Here is a 14,671-nt window from a genome sequence, read left to right on the forward strand (position 1 = left end):
TTTTTCACCAATCAAATGGTAATGATATGATAGCCAACCTCATAGGATTGTTTTGAGGGTTAAATGAATATGTGAAAAGTGTTTGGTATTTATTAGGTTGTTATCATAAGTGGGACTGAACATCTTTCCTCCAAAGGTCAAAGGTTAGTGCAAGTCCTAGGTCAAACAGGGGAAGTTCTGTCTGTGGGTCTCTCTCCTTTCCAGAAAGACCCCTAGTATTGGCATTTTTTAACTTCTTTTCCCAAAATTCTGGCCCAAAGCACACCTAGCACCACTACCCTCCACCATGCCCCAATGCCCGTTCCTGAGAACAGAACTATCCGGCTAACCCAGCAGAAGGACTCTTGAATGCACAGATATATCCATCCCCATCTGTTGCATCCTCCCCTAACCTGCCCACAAGCCACATGGCTGGAAGAGTCTGAAGCAGGGTCATGTTCAGGAAAGCAATTTAAGAGCTACATGTCAGATTCCAGAAATCTCAATGTCATTGCACATGGGATGATGATGATGATAATTATCATGATGATGGAGGCAGTAAAGGGAGGACCTAGTTGTCAGCCAAGTGTCCACCTTCATTCTCCTCTGAGCCAGCAGAGAAAAATGTGGTACTCTAGCTTCTTCCAGAGATTTAGATGTTCACCATCAGCAGCAAGCTAATTGCAAAGCTGCAAGAAACATGGAAAGCCCACAGAAGGTGCATGGCCCCTTTATTTCACTCACACACAAACACACACACACACACACACACACACACACAGCCCTCTGGCTACAGCCATTTAGAGCTCTCCTGGAAAAGAGAAAATCTTCCAGCAGCAATGGCAAGCAGAGGGCAGGAAAGGGGCTTGTGCCACTCCAAGAATTTGATGAGCACCCGATATCAACAGCATAAATAAGCCCTTTAATAAATTAGAGAGCTATCCATTTAAATGGATTCTGCAGTCCCTTCGGTGCCAGCTAATCTGTAATTCAGATAGATCAGCGATGGCTCTGCTGGGAGACAAGAGTCCAGAACATACAATGATTTTGTACCCCAAGCCAGGAGTTCACTTGGTAAGCAGTACACACATCCTACATGTTCATTTCATTGTTGCTCCTCTATCACCTATAAACCCCTAGTTATAGGCACACACCTGAAACAAAATGCACATTATTCCAGGCCCATATAAATATTCTCCATGCATGCTTCACTCTGCACATGCTCCACTCATATTCCACTCTGTGCACAGCTCCAAACTCTCTGGCAAGCACCCCCAGGCACCTCAATCAACACAGGACAAGGAACATGCTGCCGGGAAGTTTGCACCATTTTCCATAACACCCATCGTGTGTGCAGTGAGACCTGCTTCTACCCAGAGCTATGGTCGGGGGATAAAGAGGACACTAGGTGTTACAAGCTAAATTGTGACCCCCCCTAAAATTTATATGTTAATGTTATAACACCCAGGGCCTCAAAATGTAACTGGATTTGGAGAAAAGGTCTTTAAGGGGATAACTAGGTTAAAATGAGGTCATTAGGGCAAGCCCTAACCCAATGTCACTGGTGTCCTTCTTAGAAGAACAGGAGTTTAGGACTAGACAGACACAAAGGGAAGGCCATGTGAAGATACAATGAGAAGAGCCCAGAAGAGAGGCATTCGAAGAAACCAACCCTACCACTACCTTGAGCTTGAACTCCAGAATAGATTTCTGTTGTTAAAGCCACCGAGTCTGGAAGGTCATGGAAGCCTCCTCACGGAGGTGACATCTTAGCAGAGGCCTGGTTGCCGTGAAGGAGGGCACCCTGTGGCTGGGTGAGGTGGCTCACGCCTGTAATTTGGGTGGCCAAGGCAGGAAGATTACTTGAGGTCAGGAGTTTGAGACCAGCCTGGCCAACATGGTGAAACTCCATCTCTACTAAAAAAAATACAAAAATTAGCCAGGCATGGTGGCAGTTGCCTGTAATCCCAGCTACTTGGGAGGCTGAGGCAGGAAACTCGCTTAAACCCAGGAGGTGGAGGTCGCAGTGATCCAAGATTGCACTATTGCACTCCAGCCTGGGTGACAGAATGAGACTCCATCTCAAAAAAAAAAAAAAAAAAAAGTAGGGGGCCCTGAGACCATCTCAGGGAAGCCTGTTCTCCATGGTGGGAAGCACACGTGCAAAGTCCCCAGGGAAACAGGAGGCTGCATGGTCAAGGAACAGTGAGGGGGCTAGCGTGACTGAGGGGAAGTGACCAGTGGCAAGATAAGGGGGAGACAGGGTAGAGAGGCAGCCCCAAGCCAGGCCGTGCATGACCATGGGGACCATCCAGAAGAGCAGGCACTTTGATGGGAAGCCCTTGGAACTGAGCACGGGGGAACAGCAGGAGCTAATTGTCCCTTACATCACATGGCTCAGGCTGCTGTGTGCAGAACAGACCATGGGTTGGGGTAGAAGTGGAAGCAAGAAGCCCCAGTCACAGGCTATTTTCATCACCCAGGAAAGAAAAGAAGGAGGCATAATCCAAGTGTAAGAAGTTATTTTTGCTCAAAAAATATTTACTTTTAGCCATTGGTATCATCTTAAATTTACTATCAATATATCCCCAAATTTCAAAGTGGGTTATTTTTGCACCTTGATATCAGACAAGGGTTGTCTGATGTTTCTCTCCTCTTTCCTCTTTCCCTTTTTTTTTCAACTATTAAAATAGTCTTCACTAAGAAAAAAAAGTTGTTTTTAATTTGTTCATCTACTTCCATTTTTTCAGGTACTTCATTGATTTTTATGTTGAAATATTTAATACTTCAAAAAGAGACCCCCTTGTTGAGCGGCTTTCAAATCTGGCATCAGGTAATAACTTGTTTGCCAAGAAAGTCAGCTTACCCCCAACCAACTAAAAGAAAAAAAACAATAATTCATTAGAGATGCTTTTAATAAAGGTAAAATAAATGAATAAATTTAACTTTCACCTGACCATGAAATCTGGACTTGCAACAGGAAAAGAGTACGGTCAAGTTTGAATGCTTATCCATCAAATGGAGCTCCGAGGAGGGAGCCCTGCCACGGCCTCACTCCCGCCACTAAATGAATTGTCTACTTGACCCCCAGTGGTCAGAAGGGACACGGAATGCTTGTGCTGCCCTCCACAAGGTGTGGGGTGGGTCAGCCCGTGGCTGCTAAGAGCATCTTGAATGCAGGCCCACAACAGGTTAGAATAGGCTGATAATACAGAGAAGCGGCACAGAGCAGGAGCAGGAGCAGAGTGGCAGCCGGAACCCATGTGGCATGCCTGGCTGGAGAGGATGGGCCCACGGACACTCACGCCCCCGCAGGGCGAGGGCTCACTAAGCCAGTCCTTCCCACTTCCTGCTTCTTCATCTGGTGCCTGGCAGGGTGGCGAACTCAGGCCAGAGCAGACGTCAGAGAGGCTGGGCTGGTTCCAGGGCCCGGAGGCTCCGTTCTGGAACCCTTTCTTAGAGTCCCCTGTGAGGCAGGAGAGCTTCATGGAGAAAATGCCAGTCTGTGGAGGCACTCAGAGCTGGGCTTGGGACTCAGCTCTGCCTCTTCCTCATGCTGTGGCCTCAGTTTCCTTTCTGAGCCTCAGGCCCCTTATCCATCAAACGGGGGTAATAATAGGACAATCGACCTTCGGTATCTGTGGGTTCCACATCTGCAGATTCAGCCAACCGCAGATCAAAAATATTTGGAAAAAAATAAAAATTAACAAAATAAAAAATCATACAAATTTTTTAAAAATACAAGATAACAACTATTTACGTAGCGCTTACATTGTATTAAGTTTTATACATAATCTAGAGATGATTTAAAGTCTCCGGGAGGATGTGTGTAGGTTATATGCAAATACTGTACCATTTTACATCAGGGACTTGAGCATCCATCATCCGCAGAACGGGGAGGTGGGTTCTGGAACCATTCCCTCATGAATACTGAGGGACAACTGTAGTATATCCCACAGAGGTGTGTTACAAGGATGAAAGTGTTTTGCGCAAGAAGTACTCCATAAATGATAACAGTTTCTGGCATTGACTAGCAGGTGCCTCCTACCCCTTTCCCATTGTTATTAGCTGAGCACATGTCTTCCCAACATAAAGACTACATTTCCCACCTCCCCTTGCAGCCAATGGGATATAAACAGAAGTCTTGGCTAGTAATTCCTAGGAAGTCTCCCTAAATAGGATGAAGTAGGCCTATCTCTGCCCTCCTTCCCTCCTGCACATGAAATGCTGATGCAATGGCTGGAGCCCTAGCTGCCAATTTAGCCAATGAAGCTACAAGGTAAAGATGGCAGAGCCCCTAGATAAAAGGACCCCGATGATCACCAAACCAAAATAAAAACCTTGGACTGCCTATTTCCAAACCTCTTTTTCACAAAACAGAAGTAAATGTCCATTTTCAAAAAGCCATTGTTATTTGGAGCTTCTCTGCTACTCACAGCCAAATGAATTCTATCTTTATTATCATTTCTGTCATTGCTTCCATTACTATTTTTGTTAGAAGGGTGAGAACATTGCTTTCCTTGGGCTACTGAGGGTCAGCCCTGGGTTTCTCTCTTCATATGCCCACTCTATCAGCTTCCCCTGTGCCAAAGGCCAAAGGCCCCCCATTCTAGAATCCTAGGCATTTGAACTTCTGATTATCTTGTTTCCTTCATGTAAAGATGTGTGGTGAGTAGGGGGGCTTCCCCATCCCCCTCACCCACACACACACTTTCAGTGCTTTGGGGATGGGGGTAACAGCCAAGTTCCTTATGCTGTGGTTCAACACTGGGCTCCATCCCTTGGACAGATTACTGAACTCAGCTCATCTATAAACCTGGGGTGCAACTCCCTTATTTGTTTGCTGTGAAGATTAATTCAGGTGAAGTGTTAAGAGTGCTTGGTGCTTCATAGGAGCACATAGTGAGTGCTCCATACCTGCCAGTGATGTCAACAATGACGATGACAAGGATGAAGATAAGCCCTGCCCGACATCATTTCTTGCTTTCCAGTCACCAACTCATGCAAGCATCAAGGCCAGACAGAGCTGTTGGTGGCTCTCTAAACTGTCCTGTTCTCTCAAGTCTCCCATTTTTACAAATTTCCAATCTGTCTGAAGACAGCTTCTCTCACTAATGGATTCTGTATGTCCCTGAACACTCAGCCCAGAAGCCACTTTTCTCAGGAGGCCTTTGTGGACAACCCGTGTTCCCCACTGGGTGTCTCTCTGCTGTGATCGCAGAGCCCTGGCTGGTGGCTGTCAGAACTCTTAGCACTGTAGCTGGTCCTCACCTCATGACCCGCCTGCCTTCTCCTGGAGACTGAGCTATCCTGGGACAGTGAGTGTGTCCATCACATCTGTAGCTAGAACTGAGCACTGAACCAGGCCTCTAGCAGGCACATATCTATTTTATCTTATGGCTCCAATGCCTGGCACCGTTTCCATCTCGCATGTGGTGGTGTTCAATGGATACGTGTTGAATAGGTGGAAGAATGAATGAACCACTCCCCACAACTTCTTTTCTCCTGTCATGAAAGGCCAAATAACCTGGAGCTCAGAAGAAACAGATGAATTGGATGAAAATAGAACTACTTTTGCTTCTGTCTTGGTCACTGTAGTGACTTGTACAGTGTCTTCTGCTCCCAAAAGACATATGTCCACCTCAAACCTCAGAATGTGACCTTATCTGGAAATAGAGTCTTTGTAGATATAATTAAAATAAGGATTGGGATGAGATCGTACAGGGTTAGATCAGGCCCTAAAGCCAACAACAGATGTCCTTATAAAAGACAGAAAAGGACACAGAGACACAGAGAAGAAGGTCAGGTGAGACAGAGGCAGAGAGTGGGGTGATACAGATATAAGCTAAGAAATGTCTGGGCCACTGGAAGCTGAAAGAGACAAAGACAGATTTCTCTTAAAAAGCCTTTGGCAGGAGCATGGCTCTGCTGATATCTTACTTTAAACTCCTAGCCTTCAAAACAGTAAGAGAATACATTTCCATTGTTTTAAGCCATGCTGTTTGCAGTAATTTGTTATGGCTGCCTTAAAAATCTAATACCATCACCTAGAGATGGACCAACTGATTTTATAGCTCGTCCTTCAAGGCCACACCCTTCCTTACTCCAGCTGCAAACTTCACATCGACAACCTCCACATTCTCTACTGTTGGTTCTTTTTTTTTCTCTAATGCACTGTCCCATTTTACACTCCCACAGCCTCATCAAGTAGGTTCTACAATTATCCCTTTTCACAGATCATGACACTAAGTCTCATGGAGGTTGGTGAATTTGCTCCATCATGCATGGCTAGGACTCTGGTCTAGGTCTGTCTGGTTTCTATGCCCATAGCTACCACATTGTAACTTCCAGTGCCCCCTCCACTGCAGTCCAGAGCGAGAGGGTGGACATGACAGAACCAAGGAGCTTTCAAGAAGAGCCTAAACTTAGCTCAAAAGAGGTTATGGGGGTCTCTGCTGCTGAGGTCCCAGTCCCATTCTAGACTCAGTGTCTGTTCTTCACTTTAGGGCTCCCTGCCTCCTTCACCCTTACCCACATGCAATGGGCTAAATGAACCTCAACACATAGTTTCCTGACAGTTGAGAGGGAGGAAGGAATTGTAAGTAAGAATAATACTTTCAGACTGAGGGCTTTCTAAGCACAGAGATCTCATCTTGCTTTTCTTCGTATCTCCAAAGCCTGGCTCATTTGCAGGTACATAACATATGCTTGATAACAAGTTTTTGTACTGAATCAAGATCTATGACAACTATGTGACGATAACTAACCCCAGTATGGCTCAGTAGTGTTCCCTGAATTTTACAGGCACCAATTCAAGCTCCAGGATTGTATTTCCTCTACCCATGATAGAAAGAGGGTAGAGGTCACCTTAGCACCTCACTGATAGGAGGCCAACCAAGCACTGAAAGTTCTGGCCCTATCCTCTGTCCACAGGATCATGGTCCTACCCACCACCAGGAGCATCCAACACCAGGGGAAGAAATCCATATAATCATAGCTTCTAGCTCTCTAGCAGAAAACGTTCTTCTTAGTCCTGTTTCCAGTTCAGAGCACTTTAAGACTAAAGTCAAAAGTAAGCAAGGTAGAACCTTGAAAAGCCCATATGGTCCCTGTCCCCAAATCAGGTGGTTTGAGGCTCTGCTTGGTGACCAGATGGTTGCTTAGGGCTACCCATTCTCTGGGACACCCTCCCTCCTGCCTGGAGTGGAGGGAGGGGTGTTCCACACAGCCAGGACTGGGCAGATACCCCAGAATATTGCTGGAGAAGAACCTATACCCCTACCAGATGCCATCTGGATGACTGTCCCCATGATTTTTGTTCTCATAAATCCTCTGGGTACAAGTCCAGCTAGAAACTTGATTAGCCAAGTTCCTATTAGAAAAGTTCTTTGGAACTGTTTCCGTCTTATTTATGGGAACCTCTCTTATGTACAAACAGGTAAGGAATTTTAACTCCACAGGAGATGTGTACCTAAAGTTCTCTGTTGAACTGGCTGATCTGAAACTCTCTAATAAGGTAGTGTTAGTACCTGTTGAGTTTCTCCAGTATACCCCTTGTCTGATCCTCTTCATGCCTCATGAATCACATCATCATAAGCCTTGTCAAACAAAGAAAGAGAGACCTTGATTTACAGAGGAAGTTGACTTTGCCAAAATGGCCTACTGTCAGGGCTAAGCCCTGAAAAGCACATCTGGGCCTTATGACATTTTAGAGAACGCCATAGTAACTAAATCATGTGTAGAAGGCAAAACTCCTGATACAAAAGCAGCAACTATCTGGGTTTTTTCTCCCCTATGGAGAGATAACTGTAGCTTGGCTTTTTAGCATAAACTATTTTAATGTCAATTCTCTGATGATAAAGACCTTGCTTTTTCTATTCTCCATAGTCCCTAACTCACCCCAGAACAAGGCTAGATATTCAATGGGCACGTCAGACATGTAGGGAGAATGATGGGTAGTTGGCCATTAAAGACAAGTTCCTCCTCCATGACAGTAGATATCTCTCCCTTTCATCTGGGAAAGGAGAGTAAGATACTGAGATGGGATCACCATCTGGATGTGAAGGTCACACTTAATGATTGCAGATCCCCTTCCTACTCAGTTGTTTCAATAAAGAGCTGAAAGCCCATAGAGAAATGGACACACAGCCCTGCCTTTCTGAATCACACCCACAGCTCTCTTCTGCCCATTTCGTAGGCCCTTGAATGAAAAATTCCACAGCCAAACAGTATAGGAACATTTGTCCAACAGAACTGCAAAGTCCTCCCAGCAGCCTCCTGGATGGACAGGGAAGAGAAGAACAGAGACAAGGGAGGGGAGAAGCACATATGAGTGAGTGCCTCTCCCAAGCTTATCCCAGCTGTCCATCACCCGCCCTGAGGACCTGCAGGCAGAGCCTTGGCCAATCCCATGTTCAATCACAGTAGAGCCATGATCGTCAAAGACAGGAACAGTGCCAGCCTGGGATGGACTTTCTTCTCTGTGGTTCTTACATTGGGCAGCAACCTCCTGACATATGCCCCCATTCCCCACTCTTGTACAGGCAGCCTGCCAAAATAATGATTCACCTACACAGGTCAGTTAGTAGGGTGGCTGGAAAGGCCTGATCCTTACTCCTCTTTCCAAGTAGTTCCTTTCTCCCAGGCTCCACTGGCCCTTCCACATTCCTGCATCAACTTAAAAGGCTCAACCTTGCCACATTCTCCCAGGTCTGCCTTCATCATCCCCCATCCCACTCCAGCCCTACTGACACAGTCCTCAATTAATCCCACTCACTCCTTCTACCCAGTGTACAGCATGGCTTCTGGAAGTATGCAAGCTGCCTGTGTATTTCAGACCTTCCCTTGGATCAGTTCCATGCAACACGTGGTGCTGAGGGCTCAGTCCCATTCAGCACAGCCCCTCAGAGTTGTACAGACTCCCACACGCCATTTTTTTTCACTTCCTCAATATTATTCTACTATCTGTGAAGTCTATATATTTATCCACAGAGTCTCCTATTGAGCATAACTCCCTACAATAATTATCTATGGTTTCCATGTATTTATCTCTGGTATCTATTTAGATAGAATATCTACCATCCCTCCTGGATCTATTTTCATGTCTCTCTCTGTCTATAGTATTTATCTCTATTTTAACATGACTGCCTATTTTTTTTAACCCTCAAACTGGGACAGTTCCCAGGGGGATGGGTTTTGCCTGCAGTTAAAAGCACGATGTGATTCTACACGTGCTCAGCAGCTAAATTTGTGGTGGGTCAGAGCAGCAGTGCTTGTTCAGCAGAAACATATGAACTTGGGAAAACCAAGAGGTCAGAGAGGACGTGGGAGGGGGCTGAAGGCTCTCTAGACCTGCCCTGGATGAGTCCACCCATTTGAAGGAAGGTGGGGAGAAAAGAGGCCAAAGTTGGTAGAATCTAAATGCACATTCTGGGTTCAAATCCCAGCTCTACCTCTTATTTGAGCTCTCAGTCTCAATTTTCTATAAAATGAGAATCCTGTAAGTCCCTAAGTCACAAGATTGAGGTCAAGATTAAGTGTAATATACATGAAAAGTCCTTGACACAGGACTTGATGGAGAGCAAGTGCTCATTAATGAAGACTACTGCTCTTCACATGTTGTTATTATCCTCATTATGTTGTTATACCTTTTACAGCAGTTTTTTACAGGATCCACATCTTACGGGCTGTGACTATCTTAGGAAAGAGAATTACCTACATGTATATTCCTACCTCAGGAATAGAGTGGATACTGGGCAAATGTTTAATGACTAAACATAACTACCTAGACTCTTTCTTTAAGTGATACAAGAAAGAAAAGGTGAGGATACAGAACACTATTAAGGTTTATGGCCAGGTGCAGTGGCTCACGTCTGTTACCCCAGCACTTTGGGAGGCTGAGGAGAGGGGATCACTTGAGGCCAGGAGTTCGAGACCAGCCTGGACAACATGGTGAAACCACATCTCTACTAAAAACATAAATATTAGCCAGGTGTGGTGGTGCTCACCTGTAATCCCAGCTACTCAGGAGGCTGAGGAAGAGAATTGCTTGAACCCGGGAGGTGGAGGCTGCAGTGAGCCAAGATTGTGCCATTGCACTCCAGCCTGGGCGAGAGAGGGAAACTCCATCTCAAAAAAACAAAACAAAACAAAACAAAACAAAAAAACACTATTAAGGTTTAGAAAAAGGAATACTTTGACTACCAGCACTGGGCAGCTTCATGTTCAACAAAGCATGCAAGATATTAACTGAGACTTTAAAAGCCAAGATATAGGGCTCAGAAAGGATAGACAAGGCAAGCAGCTGCTGTGAGGTCAACAAAAGCTGAATCAAAGGCCTGCCAAAAAGCAGCAAGGGGTCTTGCTGGGGTTTGCATGGCAGATCTGCACTGAACCCACTTAGCATGGGCCCGTGGCTATCCTGCTCAGCAACTCAGGACAGTAGGGTAGGGGTCGTCAAAGCAGGCAGAGCAAGAAGGGCAAGGAGGGAGCAGATTTTGGGGCTCCAGGGAGATGCCATTTACTGGCTAACAATGGGGTTTGTCTCGATGGGGAAGCAAATGGAGCCAAGAGGACCCAGGTATCAGAGGAGACCAAGAGATTAGAGGTCAAGGTAGGGTACAAAAAGGAAAGTAGAGCAGGAAGAAGGAAGAAAGAGAGGTAGGTACGTCTGGATTGAAGAGAAATTCCAAGCCACAAAGCAAGCCAAGAACTGGCTATTATGGGGCTGTAATGGAGTGTACATGAAGGTCACCGGCAAGGAAGGCTTAATCATGGGGAGATGAAGACTGCCAAAAGTTATCAACATTGCAGCCTCAGATCTTGAAACTTCAGTCCCACTCTCAAGTCCTACAGTAGAAGCATGAAACTTTAGGACAACCTTGCAGAAAGAGATCAATCATAACCACCTCTGGGCAAGTTCCTCTTGCCTTCTCAATCCAAAGTGGCATCACCATATAAAAGGTTGTCAGAAAGGAGGCTGTATGAGCTCATGGTAGAGCACCCCAAAGACCTATGATTATTATTTCAAGTCCTGGTTTGCTACCATCTTGATGAGTCACATTCAACAAGTTTTTCCAGAGTAGGGAAAGAATTAAAGGTATTAATTAAGACTACCAGAACTACACAGAAAACTGAGGTGGCATGCTAACACCTGGGATTCCAAGGATGATGCAGCGGTGTCAGGGGGAGCAATGGAAGTGTGGAGCCTGGGTGTAGGCAGAGCTACACCGGAACCTCCCGTGAAGAAGCATGCTTCTTGGAGAGGAATGCCAATGGAAGATGCTAAGGAGCAAGAAGCAGAACACTATCACTCAGGATCCAGAGATGCCCAGGCCTGTGTTAACAGGGCTGGAGGCAGATGGGGCCACGATATGAAGGAAATTGGCACAGAACACGTAGGATTTTGCTTCCAAACTGCCAGATGCCAGCTCCAGCTTTCCATCTGCCTCTTCTCATTCTCTCCTTTAGTGTTTCACTGTTTACATGGTACACGTCCAAATACATTTGCTGAACTCACAGAGGGAAGCTGGCTTGGTGAAAAGGCCAGGGATCTCAGGCCCCGAACAGCCCAGAAATACAAGGTGCCTCCTCTCTGGCACTTGGAAAGTCAGAACTCACAGGTCGCTGTTGAGAGTCTAGGGCGATCTCAGAAAGATCCAGGACACCACAGGAAGGGATACACTTGTTACTGCAGAACATGTTGCAACCTCAGCTGCCCCAAATCCATCTCACAGCTGTTTCTTTTTGCTCCCTTCTTCCTTCCTGCCAGCATCCTTCAGTGCTACCATGTGATTCAGGGTTATCAATAGAGAAATATGAGACGTCCTCTATGAATTTAACAGAAAACTGGCCTCTATGGGCAATGCTATTCTAAAAACGAATGAGAAGAGGAGAAAAGGTAAAGACTAGAAGGAGATCTAGGAAGTACCAAATGCCCTGAGATCTAGCAGCCTTGGGCAGTTTCCTTAGAGTTACCTCTGCCAGGTCTACCAGAGACAGCAAGAGCCCTCCTCTTTCCCTTCAAGCTCCTGCCTTGATCGTCCCCCAACTTGAGCCAGAAGGAAGGCAAGCAGGGGCGGGCTACCCACAGAGAGGGGCGCTGGGGTCTCTGTGGGCATTCTGGCCATTCACATACAGAGTCATCACAGGTCTGGATGTGGTGAAAGGAGCAGAGAAACATGACAAGGGATACAGAGGCAGAAATCAGCTTTGCTTCCTTCAATTAGAGAAGGTCATGTCAGGAGGACTCCTTAAATTCAAGTGGCCAAAAATCAGCCCTAGTCCAAACTCCCATTCCCAGATCCACTCCCCTCCTTCCTTCCTGATCTCCAGTAGCCTCTCCTCACTCCCCTCCACCCACTCCCCCAGCCCAGTGAAACTCAAGCCCAACCACCTGTCCACTCAACATCCACCTAGGTCTGCAGGGAAGCCTGGTAGTAAAAGCCTGAGCCAGCACCACAGCAAAATGTTTCTTCTTGTCTTGAACTAGAAATCAGTGAATGATGTTCTTGACAACAAGGGGCCTCAGGACCACATTTAACCAGCACCCAAAAAGAAAAGCCATAACCAAAACCCAAGGAGAGAGAAAAGGAAGGCAAGATAAAAAGGAGGAGGAGAAGGAAGATTCCTAGCCCTCTAGCAGAAAAACAGATAAATAAAGGCTATTAGGAAATAAATAAAAGATACAGAAAGAGACATCAGCCTGGGCCTGGAATGATTTTTTTCTCTTGCTGTAGTAATGATCTGATTAGGGTTCAATCCTACTGCATTCTTCATGTCCTAACTCATCTTCACTGAGTCTAAACTGCCCAGGGAAGAAGGATGGCAGTCATGCAGGAGGCAGCTCCGATTAAGTCCCAGGCCCGATGAACTGAGGATTGCACATACCTCCTTGCACCTGAGGCCCGAGGACTCACTGCATCCCAGCGATGAGGGCAGAAGCGGGTGCTACTTTCCTCCTGACTGACTCTGCAGGGAGCAGCCTGGCTGGGAGGCCTCTCTTCACCTTGCCTGCTTCCTTCCTGAGCACAAGCTGCAGGTGGAGGGAGCCACAGTGCCTGCTGCCGAGATTTCAACCTGTCACTTCTGTTTGGGTTTCTCTTCCAGTGTGTCAGTCTCACTTGGCCAAGGCCAGAATACCAGGGAAGTTATATGGGCTGGCACAAGCTAATGCATCCAAGAGCAGCACCTTTATCTCTGAACAGCTACATCAGTGCTTCTGATACAGCTGAGATAAGGAAAAAGGAACAGATATTTATTGTGCACCTATTATGGTTAGGCAGCATACTGCTTGATTTTATGAACATAATTTCAATCTGAGCAGTGGGCCTAAGAGGTAAGACGTTATTATTCCCATTTTATAGCTAGGATCGCTGAGGGAGACTAAATAACATACTCCAAGTTACATAGCTTGAAAGCGCTGATGCTCCTTATGGGAGAATACTAGAGAAAATGGATTGACTACCTATGCTATAAAGGACCACAACTGTGCCAGAAGTAGGAATTAGCAGGCAGAGAATTTTTGTTTTTGTGTTTGCTCTTCTGAGGCCCCATACTCCTTGCCTCTGTCCAGCTTTTGAGTCCTCTTTTGGTGCCTTGGCTCTTAGTAGTTCCTGCCCTGGCAGAGTAACACAGTCCATGGAGAATCCTGGAAAGATTTCCAGGGTTCCAGGGTTCTCACAGACCCCAGGCAAAATCAAACATCTTTTTTTTTTTTTTTTTTTGAGATGGAGTCTTGCACTGTTGCCCTGACTGGAGTGCAGTGGTGTGATCTCGGCTCCCTGTAACCTCCGCCTCCCGGGTTCAAGGAATTCTCCTGCCTCAGCCTCCTGAGTAGCTGGGATTACAGGCACCGCCACCATGCCTGGCTAATTTTTTGTATTTTCAGTAGAGATGGGGTTTCACTATGTTGGTCAGACTGGTCTCGAACTCCTGACCTCATGATCCGACTGCCTCAGCCTCCCAAAGTGCTGGGATTACAGGCATAAGCTACCGCGCCTGGCCCCAAACATCCTTTTCATACTCCCCTCAGGGGCTCTCGGGAGTCCCAGAGCAGAGTGACGCAGACCAGCTCAGCTCAGGGCTGATTTTGGTTTTCTTTGAATCAATTACAGTGCAAGACACTGAAAGGCAACTAGCAATTTATTCCGGAGAGGGAGAGGTCTCACTCTTCCAAGTCTTTCATCAGGCTGAGGTTGCCCTTTTCTTCTTTCCGTTGTTGTTTTTCATTTTATTTCCTTCTTTATTTTTTAACTGCTTTGAGTCACATTTAAGCAAGACAGCCAAAAGCTCCAGGCCATCTAGAAATAAACACAGTTTATTCTTATTGTAACACAGTTAATGCACAATTTGATGAGACACCCTTGGTTTGAAGAATTCAGGGAAGTTGTACCAAGAGGGCAGAGGTATGATGGGCACTTGAAGGCTGAGAGGTTTGGCAACCTGGCTTTTGGGGGAGAGGCTAATAAGGACTGCCAGGCTGAGGAGCAAGAGAGGGAAAGCGGGCAGTGCTGGCTGGGCCACAGCAGGAAGCCATCATGGGCCAATCCGGAGTTATGCGTGTTCTTTTTCCTGGCAGCCCAGCATCAGCCCAGTCAAGACAGCTCACCTTCAGAGGAGAGAAAAACCAAGCATTTATTAAGCATCAACCATTAGTTTATTCAATCCTCACAACAATCTTAGAAGCCCATAG

At 46.2% G+C, this 14,671-nt stretch overlaps 1 protein-coding gene across 31 annotated transcripts in view; it reads right to left on the bottom strand.

Annotated features, from left to right (window-relative positions):
• The window catches only part of NTRK3 (neurotrophic receptor tyrosine kinase 3), a 396,989-nt gene that overhangs the window by 198,570 nt on the left and 183,748 nt on the right, over positions 1-14,671 (bottom strand). For 2 of the 31 annotated variants that reach the window (XM_006720550.5, XM_006720549.5), the window contains one exon: positions 14,104-14,279. In XM_006720550.5, coding sequence (XP_006720613.1) covers positions 14,164-14,279 — 116 coding nt within the window. In that variant the 3' untranslated portion in view covers positions 14,104-14,163. 31 annotated transcript variants of the gene reach the window in all.

Source organism: Homo sapiens, chromosome 15 (assembly GCF_000001405.40).
Source record: "Homo sapiens chromosome 15, GRCh38.p14 Primary Assembly".
Classification (NCBI taxonomy): Eukaryota; Metazoa; Chordata; class Mammalia; order Primates; family Hominidae; genus Homo; species Homo sapiens.